The 16366-nt window shown below is 39.5% G+C and overlaps 1 protein-coding gene across 3 annotated transcripts in view, besides 5 other annotated features; it reads left to right on the top strand.

Moving 5' to 3' along the window:
* The window catches only part of MRPS27 (mitochondrial ribosomal protein S27), a 100838-nt gene that overhangs the window by 6397 nt on the left and 78075 nt on the right, over window positions 1-16366 (top strand). For all 3 annotated transcript variants that reach the window (NM_001286751.2, NM_015084.3, NM_001286748.2), the window contains exon 3: window positions 16142-16212. In NM_001286751.2, coding sequence (NP_001273680.1) covers window positions 16159-16212 — 54 coding nt within the window. In that variant the 5' untranslated portion in view covers window positions 16142-16158. The remainder of the gene's footprint in view (window positions 1-16141; window positions 16213-16366) is intronic.
* Window positions 1337-1837: an enhancer, noted in NCBI's record as "H3K27ac hESC enhancer chr5:71607834-71608334 (GRCh37/hg19 assembly coordinates)". NCBI's record gives its function as "activates a minimal SCP1, AML or CMV promoter by ChIP-STARR-seq in primed H9 embryonic stem cells {active_cell/tissue: H9 hESC(primed)}" and the evidence as "EXISTENCE:reporter gene assay evidence [ECO:0000049][PMID:30033119]".
* Window positions 5143-5432: a silencer, noted in NCBI's record as "silent region_16079". NCBI's record gives its function as "represses an Ori minimal core promoter by ATAC-STARR-seq in GM12878 lymphoblastoid cells {active_cell/tissue: GM12878}" and the evidence as "EXISTENCE:reporter gene assay evidence [ECO:0000049][PMID:35858748]".
* Window positions 5483-5732: an enhancer, noted in NCBI's record as "active region_22646". NCBI's record gives its function as "activates an Ori minimal core promoter by ATAC-STARR-seq in GM12878 lymphoblastoid cells {active_cell/tissue: GM12878}" and the evidence as "EXISTENCE:reporter gene assay evidence [ECO:0000049][PMID:35858748]".
* Window positions 11557-12512: an enhancer, noted in NCBI's record as "NANOG-H3K27ac-H3K4me1 hESC enhancer chr5:71597159-71598114 (GRCh37/hg19 assembly coordinates)". NCBI's record gives its function as "activates a minimal SCP1, AML or CMV promoter by ChIP-STARR-seq in naive H9 embryonic stem cells {active_cell/tissue: H9 hESC(naive)}" and the evidence as "EXISTENCE:reporter gene assay evidence [ECO:0000049][PMID:30033119]".
* Window positions 11768-11997: an enhancer, noted in NCBI's record as "active region_22645". NCBI's record gives its function as "activates an Ori minimal core promoter by ATAC-STARR-seq in GM12878 lymphoblastoid cells {active_cell/tissue: GM12878}" and the evidence as "EXISTENCE:reporter gene assay evidence [ECO:0000049][PMID:35858748]".

Below are 16366 nucleotides of genomic sequence, written 5' to 3'. Positions count from 1 at the left end.
CCTTTCTTCTGTTTTTTGTCCATTTTTACCATATGGTTTTCATGCAGCCTGTTTTACAGAATTTCGTATTTTATATTTCATCCTGTCTTATTGTCAGTCTCTTTATTTTCTTAACTCCTCTTGTGGTCTTCAGAGCCCTTTTTGACTCTTCTCTATTTCATTACCAGGTGACAGGTTTGAAGGCAATGTTACAATCTCATGTAAGCTGTTTAGAGAAATAGTTGGTTAACATCTTCCCAGGCTTTGGGCTTATAATTATACTTTCTTTTCTCCTGTTCCCTATGTCATATTACACAGACAACAGCCTTTCTTTTGTAAAATACCAAGCCCCAAAAGAAATCACTGACTCAATGAGCAGTTTTTAAAAATGTGCATACTTTAGACTTTTGGTACTGCCTGCCCTTTGGTATATATAACATCATCGGAACATTAATAAAATAAATAGATTGGTGATAGTTTTATGAGACTGATGTAATTTTTGGATCAATTCCTATGCTGATCTAATATATTCCCCCAGATTTCTTTAGCTGTGTTTTGGGCTTATGTCAGTTAAGAATAAAGTCCCCTGTGTTTATGGATTTTTCCCATAAGTGCAGGAGACATTGCTGTCTCTAATGGCTACCTTATTGGGATTTTCAAAGATCTCATCCTTTTCTTTACTGATGATGTGATTGCACAAGCAGAGTTGGCTGTGAGCTCTGAGATGGGTGTATGTGCACAGGCCAGCTGAAGCAGAGCTGTGGAAGATCTGAAGATAAGTAATCGCAGCTTCTCCATGAGAAACTTACAGTCTCATTCTGTCTATAAGAGGCCCAGGGTAGCCTTCTTATAACAAGTACTTTATCATACTCTTCTTTTGCCATCTTGAAACTAAATTCATAGTTAATATAATCTATCTATACTTACTGTTTTAAAAACCAGTATATGGCTGGGTGTGGTGGCTCACACCTGTAATCCCAGCACTTTGGGAGGCTGAGGCTGGTGGATCATGAGGTCAGGAGTTTGAGACCAACCTGGCCAAGATGATGAAACCCCGTCTGTTAAAAAATACAAAAATTAGCCGGGCGCAGTGGCAGGCATCTGTAATCCCAGCTACTCCGGAGGCTGAGGCAGGAGAATCGCTTGAACCCGGGAGGCAGAGGTTGCAGTGAGCCGAGATCTTGCCACTACACTCTAGCCTGGGCAACAGAGCAAGACTCCATCTCAAAAAAAAAAAAAAAAATCAGTATGATTCCTTCGCCACGATACAGAGGAGAAACAAAGGGGAAGTAACTTAAACAATATGTATTTCAATTTGTAAACAAATGTCCAGGCAAAACTACAGTAAGAAACAATGAAGCAGGTAAATATTGCATATAAATGTGGAATAATTATAGACATGGAAGAAGTGTAGATGGGTAGAGATGCGGTATACTGGCAAATTCAAATACCAGGAGTGGCGCTATCATAATGACATAATTTTATTTATAGAATGAACAACTCTTGGTAAAGTTCTGATTGATTCAAAGGTATGTCTTCCCTCAATATAGAGTTGCAAAATTCACCTTATTTTCCATTAAAAAAACTTTGCTTATATGAAAAATGGAGTTAGTTCCATTAATGATAAACAGGTTGTTTTTGATGGTATAATTATGTCACAAATGACATGGCAAATTTTTTTAATCTTTTAATTTGGAAATAATTTTGTTGTTGTTATTGTCATTGTTGTTGAGACAGAGTCTGTACTATCTATCGCCCAGGCTGGAATGCAGTGGCGTCATCTCGGCTCACTGCAACCTCCGCCTCCTGGGTTCAAGCGATTCTCCTGCCTCCACCTCCTGAGTAGCTGGGGTTACAGCCGCACGCCACCACGCCCAGCTAATGTTTGCATTTTTAATAGAGACAGGGTTTTGCCTATTGGCCAGGCTGGTCTTGAACTCCTGGTGTCAGGTGATCTGCCCACCTCAGCCTCCCAAAGTGCTGGGATTACAGGCTTGAGCCACCGCGCCCAGCGGGAAATAATTTTAAACTTATAAAAACTGCAAAGAACTCCTCTATATCTGTCTTAGTTTGTTTTCTGTTGTTTATAACAATACCTGAAACTGGATCATTTATCAAGAAAACGAATTTATTTCTTACAGTTAGAGAGTCTGAGAAGGCCAGCGTTGAGGGGTGGCATCTGGTGAGAGCCTTCCTGCTGGTGAGGACTATTCAGAGTCCTGAGGTGGCTCAGAGCATCACATGGCGAGGGGGCTGAGCATGCTAGCTCAGGTCTCTCTTCCTCTTATGAAGCCACCAGTCCCACTTCCGTGATAACCCATCAATCCATTAACCCATTAGTCCATGAATGGATTAATTCATTCATCAGAGGAGAGCCCTTATGATCCACTGGCCTCTCAAAACTGTTACACTGGGGATTAAATTTCAACATGAGTTTCAGAGGAGACAAATATTTAAACCACAGCGCTACTTTTACTCATGTTCACCTGTCGTTACCATTTTGATTCATTTGTTTTTGCTTTCTCTCTCCTCCTTCCCCCTGTATACACACTTTCTTTAATCATTTGGGAGTTTGTTTCATATATTATAGCTCTTTATCCTGAATACTTCAATGTACATTACCTGAGATAAGGACATTCTATTGTATAATCATAGCACAGTTACCAACTTCGGAAATTTTGACATTAATATAATACTTTACTATTCATATCCCAGTTTTGGGAATTGACCCAATAATAGGGTCTCTCATAGCATTTTTCCTCTTCCAGTACAGGATGCTGTCTAGAATCATAGTTCCTTATCCTTTCTTTGTTTCTTATGACATTGTCCTATATATTTTTAAAGAACCCAATCTCTTTTTTTAAATAGAATATTCCTCTTTCTTGGATTTTTCTGCTATTTTCTCATTGTTATGCTTCCCCAGCCAGAATACTCTCAGTGATGTTGTGCCCCTGCCAGGGTATCACATGTGGACATACCTGATATCATATGCCTTCACTGGTGATGTCAGTTTTGATCACCTAGTCAACTGTGTCTGATTTCTCCACTGCAGAGTTACTGTTTTTCTCCCTTCTGATTAATAGGCTATTCTCGGAGAGAGACTTTAATGTAATGCAAATATGTTGTTTATCAAAAGTTTGCTCTTAGATTTGGCATCCATTCATGGCTTTAGCCTGAATCAATCTTTACTATAATGGTTGCAAAGTAATGATTTTCCAACTCTGAAAATTTCTCCAGATTTACTAGCTAACACTCAGTATTCTACTATAAGCAAGAACTCTTCCTTTTCTCTCATTTCTTTCTCATTTATCTGTTTATTATCATGCATTATGTTTAAATCATCAATTTGTGAATTTTTTAAATGATTCATTACCCTTCTCAATTATTTTGGTGGTCTAAATATCCCAGACTTGGCTGATAGAAGCCCTTTCAAGCTGGCTTCCATTTTCCCCCACCCCCCTCTTTTTTGATAACTTACTTTCTCTCATATAACAAGGTGTTTCAGGCTCACTGTGTACCCTTCCTGGCCTAGCCCTGGAATCAACCATTTCTCCAAGGAGCTCTGGTTACTTTTGGTGAGGAATGGCATTAGAAACCAAGATCTAGGTGCTAGGTGTCCTTTTGCTACTGTGAAATTTTTGCTTCTTGGCCCATTCAGTGAACAGTTCTGGAAAAAAAATGAATGCACATACACATAAACATACATGTACACATATGCATATACATATACTATATATATTTTGCAGATAATGAGTTCACACCAATCCCAAGTTCATCCCTATGGGATTCTTCTTGCCTTGCTCCAGTCCATATTTGTATCTCCCGTCTTCCATACTGACAGCCCTGGCTCCCACTAGAGACAGTGTTTTGATGTACGGGACAGTCTCAGCATTGCAGGTCATCTGAATTCCCTGTTTTCTGTCCATTAAGTGCCAGTAATGCCTTTCAGTCATTGTGACAATCAAGACCAACTTCCACATATCCTAAAATGCTCTGTAGGGCCAATACTATACTGTTCTAGTGATCAGACCAGTATGGACTCATAGTTATACAGCAAGGCGTGTTCGGATGTGCCATATGTGAATTATAAGCAAAGTGCAGTGAAGTACAGATAAGGGAATGACGAATTCCAGGAAAGCTTATTAACACTTTCCTAGGTATGTAGGGAAGATTAGGAAATGAGGCCACTAGGTTTGGTGTCTTGGTGTTGGGTATAGTCAGTCACACAAATCCAGGGAACATTGTCATGGATACCTGAGTAAGCAGTAACTGTTTGCCAAATAATGAGTATAATAATCTGCAGCGGGGCAGCACGCAGTGGCACACGCCTATAATCCCAGCACTTTGGGAGGCTGAGGTAGGCAGATCAAGTCAGGAGTTCAAGACCAGCCTGGACAACATGGTGAAACCCCGCCTCTACTAAAATTACAAAATAGCCGGGCGTGGTGGCGCACACCTGTAATCCCAGCTACAATGGAGGCTGAAGCAGGAGAATCGCTCGAACCCGGGAGGCAGAGGTTGCAGTGAGCCAGAGATCACGCCGCTGCACTACAGCCTGGGCGACAGAGCTGACTCTGTCTCAAAAAAAAAAAAGTCTGCAATGAGTAAATATCACATAGAGACATTTGTTCCCTTTCCTCAGTTAAGACTAGTTTTCTTGGAAAAGCAGTACTAGCCACCATTTACTGAATTTTTCCTGCCACCGAGACAGCTGTCCCCTCTGCCTAGAATATCTTTGTATATCCTGAATCTCTCCAGTCAGAATCGATGTTTCCTGCCCTATATTCTTTCAGCACTTTGTGCCTTCCTTGTGTATGATGTGCTGAAGTCTGCACTTGGGAGGCCGACTTCTGGGTGTCAGTCCCAGTTCTGCGGCTTTCAGCTGTCACACTCGGTTTCTGTGCCTATAAATTAGAGATGATGGTAATGCCTGCCTCTCCGTCTGACATGCAGGTGCTTCAGAAATATGTGCACTGAGGAGTCCCTAAGCCCCTTGTTTTTAGCCCTCTATAAAACGTGTGAGGTGAAATAATGTTTTGGAACTCACACTGCTTGGAACAAAGAAAGCTTTTGAGACTTTTTCCTACTGTGTACTGGAAGGTAATTATTGCCGCTTTTTTCAAAATGGACATTGTTTTCGGTTTTACTCGACGACACTACTTGTTTTCCCTCATTTTTATTTGAGCGTTTGGGTTGAGCTACTGGCACTTAGCAGGGAGGCCGCATGGTAGGGAGAGCGCCCGTGGCTCCAGCTCTGGAGATGGGACAGTAGGTGGCAGTGTGGCCCCTGCGGGAATCCGCCGCCCCGCGGGTGGAACGCGGCGAGTGGGCGCGGGGCTGTCGGGTAGCGTGCGCGCGCAGGGCCGCGCCCAGCATGTGGAGCGCTGTGATTGGGCGCCGCCAGCCGGAGGGCCGTGAGGTGCTCAAAGCGGGCTCGCTGATTGGGGGACGGAGGAGGGCCGATATGAGGCTTTCGCCGCTCCCATCCCCATTGGAGATCGAGGCAGCAAGGGACACTGCGGCGTGTGGGTGTGGGCTTCATGTGCCAGAGCGCCGTCTCCCCTGAGCCGTGCCCTGCCGGGGAGTACGGCGAGAGAGAGGTTCTGGCCTCTCGGAGTGGGCTTGCGGTTCCGGTGCCCCCTCTCTTCGTCCTCGTGGCTGATTGTGCCAGAGAGCTCCTCGGGGAGGGCCCTAGCGTGAGGGCAGTTTCCCAGCGCCGGGGCCGCGGTGGACGCCAATGCAGCTGTCTAGGACCTGCGCCCGCGGTGCGTCCAGAGGGCCCCGGCGCGAACGTCAGAACGCCGCCCCGTTCCGCGCTCTCAGCAGCCAGCCAGGGCCGCTGCCAGTTCCACCGTGGAGAGGAGGAAACCGGGCGAGAGCCTCACTTTCCTTTCCGCCCAAAAAGCTTTCTCAGTGATTGCTGTAGTACCTGAGATTCTACCATAGGATCTTCCGCCTACATTAAAGTAGTCGATTTCTTCTTTAAAATACTTTTTTATTGGAGTATAATATACATACTGAAAAGTGTGCAAGTCGTAATATAGACATTGATGAATTACCACAAAGCGAGTAAACCTGTGTAGGAAGCAAGAGCATTCCTACCGCTCCAGAAGCCCTTATTGCGGCCCCCACTTAGTCTCTCCAAAGGTAACCGGTATCCTGACTTCTAACGCCACAGATTTTTTTTTTTTAGTGTTTTAACATTTGAAGGTGTAGACACCTTGGTATAAGGAGCCCCCTTTACCCATCACCTGGCTTCAACAATTATCAGCTCTTAGTCTTTATTTTATCTTTATTACTGTTTCCCCATCCCGATGCTTTGGATAATTTTGAAGGAGATCCCAGGCAGTAAGTCATTTCATCCGTAAATATTTTGATACAGATCTCCAAAAGACAAGGGTGCTTTTCAATACCATTATCACACCTAAAATATTAATAGGGTTGTAAATATCACGAAATATCCAGTTAGTGTTCAGATATCCCTGATACTCTCTTTCTTATTTTATTTTATTTTCTTAGAGCCTTGCTCTTGTCGCCCAGGTTGGAGTGCAATGGCACGATCTCAGCTCGCTTAAACCTCCTCCTCCCAGGTTCAAGCGATTCTCCTGCCTCAGCCTCCCGAGAAGCTGGGATTACAGGCGCCCGCCACCATGCCCGGCTAATTTTTGTATTTTTAGCAGAGATGGGGTCTTGCCTTTTTGGTCATGCTGGTCTCGAACTCGTGACCTCGTGATCCGCCCACCTCGGCCTCCCCAAGTGCTGGGATTACAGGCGTGAGCCACCGCTCCTGGCTCAGGTATCCCTGATACTCTCAAATTTTTTTTTTTATGATTTGGTTGAATCAGGATTCAAATAAAGCCTCGTATAATACAATTGGTTGCTATGTGCCCCCGTTAACTCTTTCTGAATCTTTTTAATAGAAACATACAGAAGTAGAGAGAGTAGAATAAACCCCTGTGTACTGTCACCCAGCTCCAGCAATTATCAATTCCCTACCAGTGTTGTTTCATCAACTCCCCACCTGTTCACCAGATTACTTTTTAACAAACTTAATTATCGGGGTTTTTTTATATGTACTTTGATATGTACCTCTAAAAGATAAGGATTTTTAAAAACGTAATTAATCATACTATTCTAAAAAACTAGTACTTCTGTAATATTAAATATTCCATTAATGTTCACATTTTCCCAAATGTCTTATAAATTTCTTTTTAATTTAGTTTGTTGAAATGTGATCTAGATAAGGTCCATACCTTGCAATGTGTTGAGTTGTCTCAACTATCTTAGTTTGTAAGTTTTTTGCAATTTATTTATTGAACAAAACAGGTCTTTTTTGGAGTTTCCCACATTCTAGATTTGCTGATTTCATCCTTATTGTGGTGTTTAGCGTGCTCCTCTGCCTTCCATATGTCTTGTGAAACTGGTAGTTGGAGAAAGGGGCTTGATCAGATTCAGGACTTTTTATTTTGTCTTTTGGTATAAATACTTCATAGTAAGTGTTTACTTGTGTCAGTAAGCACACAGCATTTGATTGCCCCTCTGCGAAGTTAAAGGCCATTCATGATCTTTACTTAGATTTGTTATTTCATTTGAAGCTGCATACTATTGCTGTTTAAATTTTATCATTTCTTTTCATTTATTATCTAGGAAATTTTTATGACAGAACTTCCATTCATCAACAGTTTACTTACCCTGAAATAGTTTGTATATGAGTTAGCTTTCAAAATAACTTGCAAAAATGATGAATGAGGACTTCTTAAAATGTCATTAAGAACTCATAGATTTAAATAATTGAGACATTTTAATCCATTGCTGTTGATACTTTTATTGATAGGGCCATAGTTCAACTGTGCTCTGTAGAGCCCTGGGCTTTCCTACTTCAATCAGATTTCAACTTTTGATTGTTTCTGTACTGGGCTTCCCTTTGGCTAAAATAAACACTGAGTTAAAGCATTGTCTCTGGAATTCCTCCACTAACTTGCTGATTTGTTGGGGAGGTACAGGGTAAAAGTTATCAACATTTACTAGTTAACAGAATAGGATCCACTGTGAACAGGACTCAGGAGAAAACCACTGGGGAACTGGGTAGGGTGTTGGTAGGAGGGCAGGCCTCATGGGGAAGCTCCTTGAGTTCCATGAGAGGAAGTTTTCTTGAGTCTTTCTGACAAGGAGCGAGCACTCAGGTGACTTGAGCTGAATTCAGGATTCATGAGCCCTACTGGATTAAATATTTTATTTGTGATTTTTCACATCACAAAGTATAGGACACATTTTGGTTTGGGTTACTGTTTTGCTTGTTTGTGTTGGTTTCTCTTGGTTTGTTGGTTTGTTTTCTGTTGGTTTGTTTTTGGAGAACCTCCTTTTTGAATCCAAAGAGTATTTCCTTGACACATTTGCATTCAGGTCTGTCTCTTACAGACACTTCTTCCATTTTAGCTGAGATTTAGTTTTGCTGTGTCATTTCAGCTGTAGAGGCCTTTGGCTTTTTGCATGAATATTTCAGATCCTGCTCTTGAGGCCTGATGGAGATTTTCTGAAGTCTGCTTTCTTAACTTTTGTCAGTTCTGTATTTGCATCTCTGTGGCATCTATTCATTTTCCAGTTTCCATATTTGCCAAGTTCTAGAGATGGGTCTGACTTGTGCACATCACCGTTCTTTAGTCTCATTAATATATATGTACACAAAGCTTGATTTCATGTTTTTCCTTTATTGGATTTATTTATGTTAAAGCTTCTGGTGACAGACAAATAGAAGGAAGTCTAAAAATCTATGTCCAAATTGGTTGCTAGGCTAGTTTTCCATACTTCCTTCTGTATATTCAATGCATGATATATGTCATGTGTCCTCGTTTTTCTTTTAAAATGTGGGAAACAAAAACAGTTTCAGCCTGTATTTTTCAAGATCAGTTCTTCTAGGAAGGACAATAATAATCTGTACCTGTTTCTTTATTATATAAATTAGGTAAGGTATGCAGATGACCATAAGCCCAGAAAGAGTTTAGTGTTGCCTGAAAGGTTAACAGTAATGTGCAGTTATGTAGAAAAGAAAAACTGAAACCATTTCTCACCTGAAGCTAGAAGGATTCAATAAAGGATTCATATTTTTCTTCAGTGACCTTCATTATCACAACTTTGCCCCAGAGACCACACTCTTTTTTAAGAGGCTTGTTTTTCAACACATCTGTACTACAGATTTTGTGGTTATGTACTGTGAAGCTGTGTTACTTTGGTGTGCACCAGGTTAAAATTATCTTGGCAAAATGAATTTTTGGTCATTATGTAGTGACCCACATAATCTATAAAACTGCTTTTTGCCTGTAATCTATTGTGTCTGATATTAATACAACTGTACCAGCTTTATTTTGGCTTCCTAGTGTGTTTTTAATAATTTTCAACTCTTCTGTGTTTATATGATTTATATAGCTAGCTTTTATATTTTTAACCAATCTGACAATCATTATCTTTTAACTAGAAAATTTCGTCTATTTACATTATCATTTCATGATTACCAATATAATTGGATTTATTTCTGTCACATTTTGTGATTGGTTTCATCTTTCTTTTTTTTCTTTATTTTTTATTTTTGGATTGATTTTTACTTTTGGATTGTTTTTGTTTTTTACGTTTTTTTCCCCTCCACTGGTCTGGAGATTATATCCTCTACTTTTTTAGAGATTGTTGCCCTTTAACTTCTAAAATGCATATCTAGCTTAAATTGTAATGCTCATCACACTCTACTATCCTTTAGGACACCTTAGGTCCACACACACACATCTAACCATATGCTCTTGTCTAATAATAAAGTTTTATCCTTTAAAACACATATAACATTATTTTAAACAGTCAGTTCCCCCCCAATTTAACCAATTTTATTGAGTTCTAAAAATTTCCTTTAGTATTTGTTGCTAATACATTTTCTGTTTTTGTTTGTCCAAAAATGTCTTCATTTCGCCCTTATCTTTTTTTTTTTTTTTTTTTTTTTGAGATGAGGTCTTGCTGTGTTGCCCACACTGGCCTCCAACTCCTGGGCTTAAGTGATCCTCCCACCTCAGCCTCCTGAGTAGCTGGGTCTACAAGCACATGCCAGCATACCCATATTTTGCCCTTATTTTTTAAAGATAATCTTGCTAGATATGCAATTTTAGGTTGATAGTTTATACTTGCAACATTTTGAACATTTTATTCTATTTTCTGGATTTTATCATTCCTATTGAGAAAACACCTGTTAGTATAGTTGTTTCTTTCTTTGTAATTTCTCTTTTCTTTCTGGCCACTTTTGAGATCCTCTCATTCATCGTTTTTGAAATAATAATTTTACTTTTTTGACTTGAGATTGTATACATATCCTGAATCTAGAAACCTATATTTTTTATCAATTCTAAAAAATTCTCATCATTGTCTCATCATACATTCTTATTCATATTTCTATATCTTTGCTCTTTTACAGTTCTCATTTTTATCTTTGCAGCATTCTGTGTAATTATCTGCCTTTCAGTTCACTCTCACTTCACCTGTGTCTAACCTGCTTTTTAACTTATTCATTGTTTACTTTTTACAGCTTTGATGAGGTATTCTTCACATAAAATAAACTATGTATATTTAAATGTACAATTTGATCAGTTTTGACCAATGTACAGGTGTATATGTCCATAAAGTCATCTCCATGATCAAGATAATGAGCATATGTGTCACCTGCCAAAGTTTTCTCCTATTCTTTAACCCTTTTCTCCTTCCGCTTCTGGCCCTATACCCCAAATTCCCAGGCAACCATGGATATGCTTTTTTGTTTCTATAGAATAGTTCACAATTTTTAGAATTTTATATAGTGAAGTCAACTCTTCAAACAAAATTCTCAGCTTGGTATATTTTGGATCACAAAAGAAGAGTGGATTAAATCCCCAAAGAGGCATGAGGGCTGACTTGTAGTTTATAATCTTCAGGGGACAAGTGTCCCGGTTGTTTACTTTTTAGGGTGCATTATTGTAGTGATAAGTTTTACCTTTTCACTTCAGGTGTAGTTCCCTTAGGTGGTCCTGGCTTTACCTGAGGATCTCTGAACAAGCTTCTCATCTTACAAGTATTGGTTTTATCCTCTGTCCCCATAAGTCACTGAAACTAAAGCTCTCCATCACTGTAGATCATCACATGCTCTCAAAAGGACTGCTCCCCTCAAAGGGACTGCTCCTCTAAACACTCCAAGTTCATGTTTCCATCTTGCCTTTGGCCTCTGACAGTTACATCTACCTTCTTGAAAGCTCAGTCATATATTTGGGGGAAAATTGATATTTTGTTTTATTTTTATAGTAGGAGGAATTTTTTAAAGATATTTAATTCATTTTATTCCAGCAATGGAATTCCTATTCAGTATCTTCTTTGAGCTTAGGAGCAACATCTAAGACTTCTTTTGTGTTCCCTCCCATGGTTGCTCCCAAACATAACTGACGTGCTTGATTGGCTACAATCTTCTGGGGCTATTGTTTAAGTCTCTCGTGCTACCTCAAACCCAGGGAATTAGAGTCTCCCTCTGGGTGAAAAGAATCCTAGGAATCTGAAGTTTTAAAGCCCCTCAGGCAATCTGAATCCTCACCCAGGCTTGTGGGCCATTGCACTCTTACTGGGAATAGTGCAGGGTTCTCAATACAATCTTGTATATTCTGAGATCGTTAATAGTATTGCTTTCTTCAAATGGGAAGGGCATTTTTAGTATACATTTTATTTTCTGGACATACTTCCACATTGTCTGTCTAGCTTCAAGTTTTGTTAAATGAAGAATTCAAATTTCAGATCCATTTTCCCATATAGTCTGTTGTCCACAACCATCTGCCACAGTATGTATTCCTGAGGAGCTGAATAGCAAGCAAAAAAGTATCTTCTTTGGCACATCTCTTTGAACAAAACCTGGGCATCTGCTGGCCCCTCACTGAAACATGAGGTGGGATTTTGACTGTGGAAGCCCACAGTCCAGAAGCCTGTGGCGCTGGCCCTCTGCACGCCGCAGCTGTCCCAGCTTTCCTGGCCGTCCCTGCTCTGTGCAGTTTTCTGCCTCATTCATCACGGCAGTGCTATACTGTGAGGTGATTGGCCACATGATATATTTAGCAGCAAACCTTTCTCTGACTTGGAAAATGCAAATGTTATTCATTAGATGCTGGCTTTGCAGCTGTTACCTTTTCTGAGGCTCCAGCCAATTTCACTTGACTAAAGATGCCTTGGTGCGAAGGATTCACATGCAATCTTGAGTTACCACACTACAGAGGTGATCAGTGAAGCCACCTTATTCCAGAGTTTGGTTATACATTGTGCATGATGTGAAACCCACAAAGAAATGATGGGTTTTTCATTTTAATTAGGCCATAGATCCTGATCTTGCTATTTTAAGTTAAATTGTAAATTTCAGGTAGAGGGAGGTAATTTCTCATATTGCCTCTCATCTAAACACAGAAGCCTTCATTATGAAATGATCAAAAGATTTGCTATTATGAGAGAGACATTTAACATCTGTAAGCAAGTAGATTTAATGCTATTAAGTTGCCTTAGTGTGAAGGGGGTTTAAGGACTTTTTTGTTTTTATTTTGCTTTAATCACTTGGCTTCAATCCCTTTAAGATAGTCATAAGAAAAGCTAATTGCTTTCATATCGTATCAAGTTCTAAAGTTCTAAAGTTGTTTTCCCCCAGTAGGTACTGAGTCATTGAGATCAATCCCTCAGGGAAAAAAGAGAGGAAAAAATGGTTAAATGCACAACAATAGGTTTTCAACAAATACTTATTACTTGATCATTTCTGGTGTGTCCTTATTACTTGATACCAATTTCTTCCACCAGGGAGTAAACAAACCTTGGAAACCCAATTGCTTTTTTCTTTCTTCCTTTTCTTCCTTTGATTCATTTCTTTAGGTATTTACTAGGTGCCTTTTATGGAACTGTTCTAGGGACTGAGAGTGTGTATATTAGTAATTATATGGATTTTATTTTTAGTGTAAGAGACAGAAAAACAACACAGATTAGCATTTATTGGTTTTTATCCTGATTGGCTGATTTATCTTTTAAAATGCTCACTCAGACTGCTGGGTGGAGATTAGATAATAAGGGTGGGGACAGTAGTTAAAACAAGGTCAGGAGATGAGAGATACTGGTGGCTTAGCAGTAGTGGTGATGAGAAATATATAGTTATTTTTCAAATCTAGAGCCTGTAGGATTTATTGACAAATTGGTTATAGAGTGTGAAAAGAATGGGGTCAAGGATGATGCCTACATTTTTGGCCTCAGTAAACCAGCCAATGTGGTGGTCATTTACTGAGATAGGAAAAGCATATTGAAAGTGGAAGGTTGAGGAAATAAGAGAACATGTGATGTTTAGATACCTATTAGACACCCAGATGGAAATATCACCTATGTAATTGGAAATGCAAGTCTGGAGTTAAAGGGAGAAGACAGGGTAGGTATGTACATGTGGAGCCAACCATCTGTAGGTAATGGTTAAAGGCGTGGCAGAGAATGAGATCACCTAGGGACCGAGCATAGATGGAGAAGGGAAGTCTGCAGTCTACTAGAGTCCTAGAGGCACTCCAATGTTTAGAAGTCAAGAAGAGGAGATCCTGCAAAGGAACACAAGAAGGAGAGAAAAAAGAGAATATTTTGTGAAGGATAGAATGGTCAACTGTATCAAATGATAGAAGTCAAGTAAGATGAGAACAGAAAATTAACCACTGGATTTTAACAATGTGGCAGTGGTTATTGGTGTCAGTTGAATGTGTTGAAGACTGGGAGCTCAGGAGGTAGTAACAGCTGTATCTAAGATGACTCTTTTTAGCAGTCTTGCTGTTAAGAGGAGCAGAGAAAAGGAGCCATAATGGTAGGAAATATGAGGGCAAGGGAGGGCTTTTTTGTTTAACACCATTCAACCTTTGTAACAGAATGGAGGACACAGAATATGGGCACAGATGCTAGTAACCTGGTAGACATGATGCTAGAAGGATAAAGTTCTCTTTGGATTGCTTCTGTTTTCTCAGTGAAATGAGACACAAAATCATGAGCTGAGAGTGAGGAGAAGGGGAAAAAGGATATTGTAAATTTGAAAAGCAATGACAAGATGTGAAGTAAACATTTTAGAGAGTATGCTGCCTAGGATTTCAGATATTTTCAGACTCTGAGATAAAAGTGTGATCTCAGAAATACCAAATATTCCTATGGATGTTCTGCTAGAAGGAACCAAAATAGGAATCATTCAGGCCAAAAATCATTAAGGATAACCAGAGTGCTGCTCTGATTTGTTCAGGGTAGGTATAAAAGTCACTTGATAAATTTCAATTTTTAAATGTTTTGAATAGCTAATATACACCTATAACCTGATATATAGCTAATATATTTCAAAATACAAAAGGAATAAATGCGTAAGCAATGAAGAGTCTTCTTCCCTGGATCTCCCATCATCTAATTTCTTTTTTTGGGGGGAACCTATCAGGAAATACACTTGCTTGTGTCTCCTTCCAGAAATATTTTATTGATCCTTTCCCCGCCCCTCCCCATCCCAGGTCTTTTTTTTTTTTCTTTTATTTTTTTCTTTCATGAGCTAATTATATTGGACTTCTTTATTTCCACTTTCATTTTAGATTCAGGGAGTACATGTGCAGGTTTGTTACATGGGTATATTGCATGGCACTGAGGTTTGGGGTATAAGTGATTCCATCATCCAGGTACTAAGCATAGGTAGTTTGTCAGCCCTTGCCCCCTTCCCTCTCTCCTGCCTCTAGGAGTCCCCAGTGTCTGCTGTTCCCATATTTATGTCCGTGTATACCCAGTGCTTACCACCCACTTGTAAATGAGAACATGTGGTATTTGGTTTTCTGTTCCTGCGTTAATTTACTTAGGATAATGGCCTCCAGCTGCATCCATGTTGCTGCAAAGGACATGGTTTCATTTTTTTTTTTATGGCTGTGTAGTATTTCATGGTGTATATGTACCATATTTTCTGTATCCAATTCACCATTGTTAGGTTGATTCCATGTCTTTGCTATGGTGAGTAGTGCTGCGGTGAACATCGAGTGCATATGTCTTTTTGGTAGAATGTTTTATTTTATTTTCGGTATGTACCTAATAATGGGATTGCTGAATCAAATGGTAGCTCTGTTTTTTTTTTTTTTGTTTTTTTTTTTGAGACGGAGTCTCGCTCTGTCTCCCAGGCCGGACTGCGGACTGCAGTGGCGCAATCTCGGCTCACTGCAAGCTCCGCTTCCCGGGTTCACGCCATTCTCCTGCCTCAGCCTCCCCAGTAGCTGGGACTACAGGCGCCCGCCACCGCGCCCGGCTAATTTTTTGTATTTTTAGTAGAGACGGGGTTTCACCTTGTTAGCCAGGATGGTCTCGGTAGCTCTGTTTTAAGTTATTTGAGAGATCTCCAAACTGCTTTCCACAGTGGCTGAATTAATTTACATTCTTACCAACAGTGTATAAGCATTTCCTTATCTCTGCAGCCTTGCCAGCATCTGTTATTTTTTGACTTTTTAATAATAGCCATTCTGACTGGTGTGAGATGGTATCTCATTGTGGTTTTTATTTGCATTTCTCTGATGGTTAGTGATGTTGAGCATTTTTTTCCTATGTTGGTTGACTGCTTGTATGTCTTTTGAGAAGTATCTGTTCATGTCTTTTGCTCATTTTTTAATGGGGATATTTGGTTTTTGCTTGTTGAATTGTTTAAGTTCCGTACAGATTTTGGGTGTTAGACCTTTGTCGGATGCGTAGTTTGTGAATATTTTCTCCCATTCTGTAGATTGTCTGTTTACCCTGTTGATGGTTTTTAGTTTAATTAGGGTCCCACTTGTCAATTTTTGTTTTTGTTGCAATTGCTTTTGAGGACTTAGTCATAAATTCTTTCTGAAGGCCGATGTCCAGAATAGCATCTCCTAGGTTTTCAAATTGATCCATTTTTTTAAAAGCTAAATACATGGTAAAAAGTTTTTTTAAAATAATTCTCAACCCAATTAAATCATTTTTAAAATGTTTTAAAGAATATTCTTTTTTCCTCTTTAATTTATATAAAAATAATTTCTAAAAAGCAAGAAAGAACGTTTCTTTTAATACTTCATGTTGGCAGCCATCTGGCAAGAATTGTAAAAAAATATGTATCTTTAACAAGGTTTTTTTTCTTTTTTTGTCTTCACAGCTGATCTTGCATCTTTAATGGATAAAACATTTGAGAGAAAGTTGCCTGTTAGTTCTTTAACAATATCACGGGTAAGAAAATTTTAACATATATATTTTCCAAGAACAAGGAAGAAAGCCAGAAAGGCCCTTCATGTAGATGAGGCTGTGTAAATAAAAAATAGTTTGCATAGGAAATATTTTTGAGAGTATGGTAAGTTTTTATAGTTACTAATAGATATTTTAT

Source organism: Homo sapiens, chromosome 5 (genome assembly GCF_000001405.40).
Source record: "Homo sapiens chromosome 5, GRCh38.p14 Primary Assembly".
In the NCBI taxonomy this organism is placed as follows: domain Eukaryota; kingdom Metazoa; phylum Chordata; class Mammalia; order Primates; family Hominidae; genus Homo; species Homo sapiens.
The sequence above is the reverse complement of the archived record's forward strand: the minus strand, read 5'-3'. Positions and strand labels throughout refer to the sequence as shown.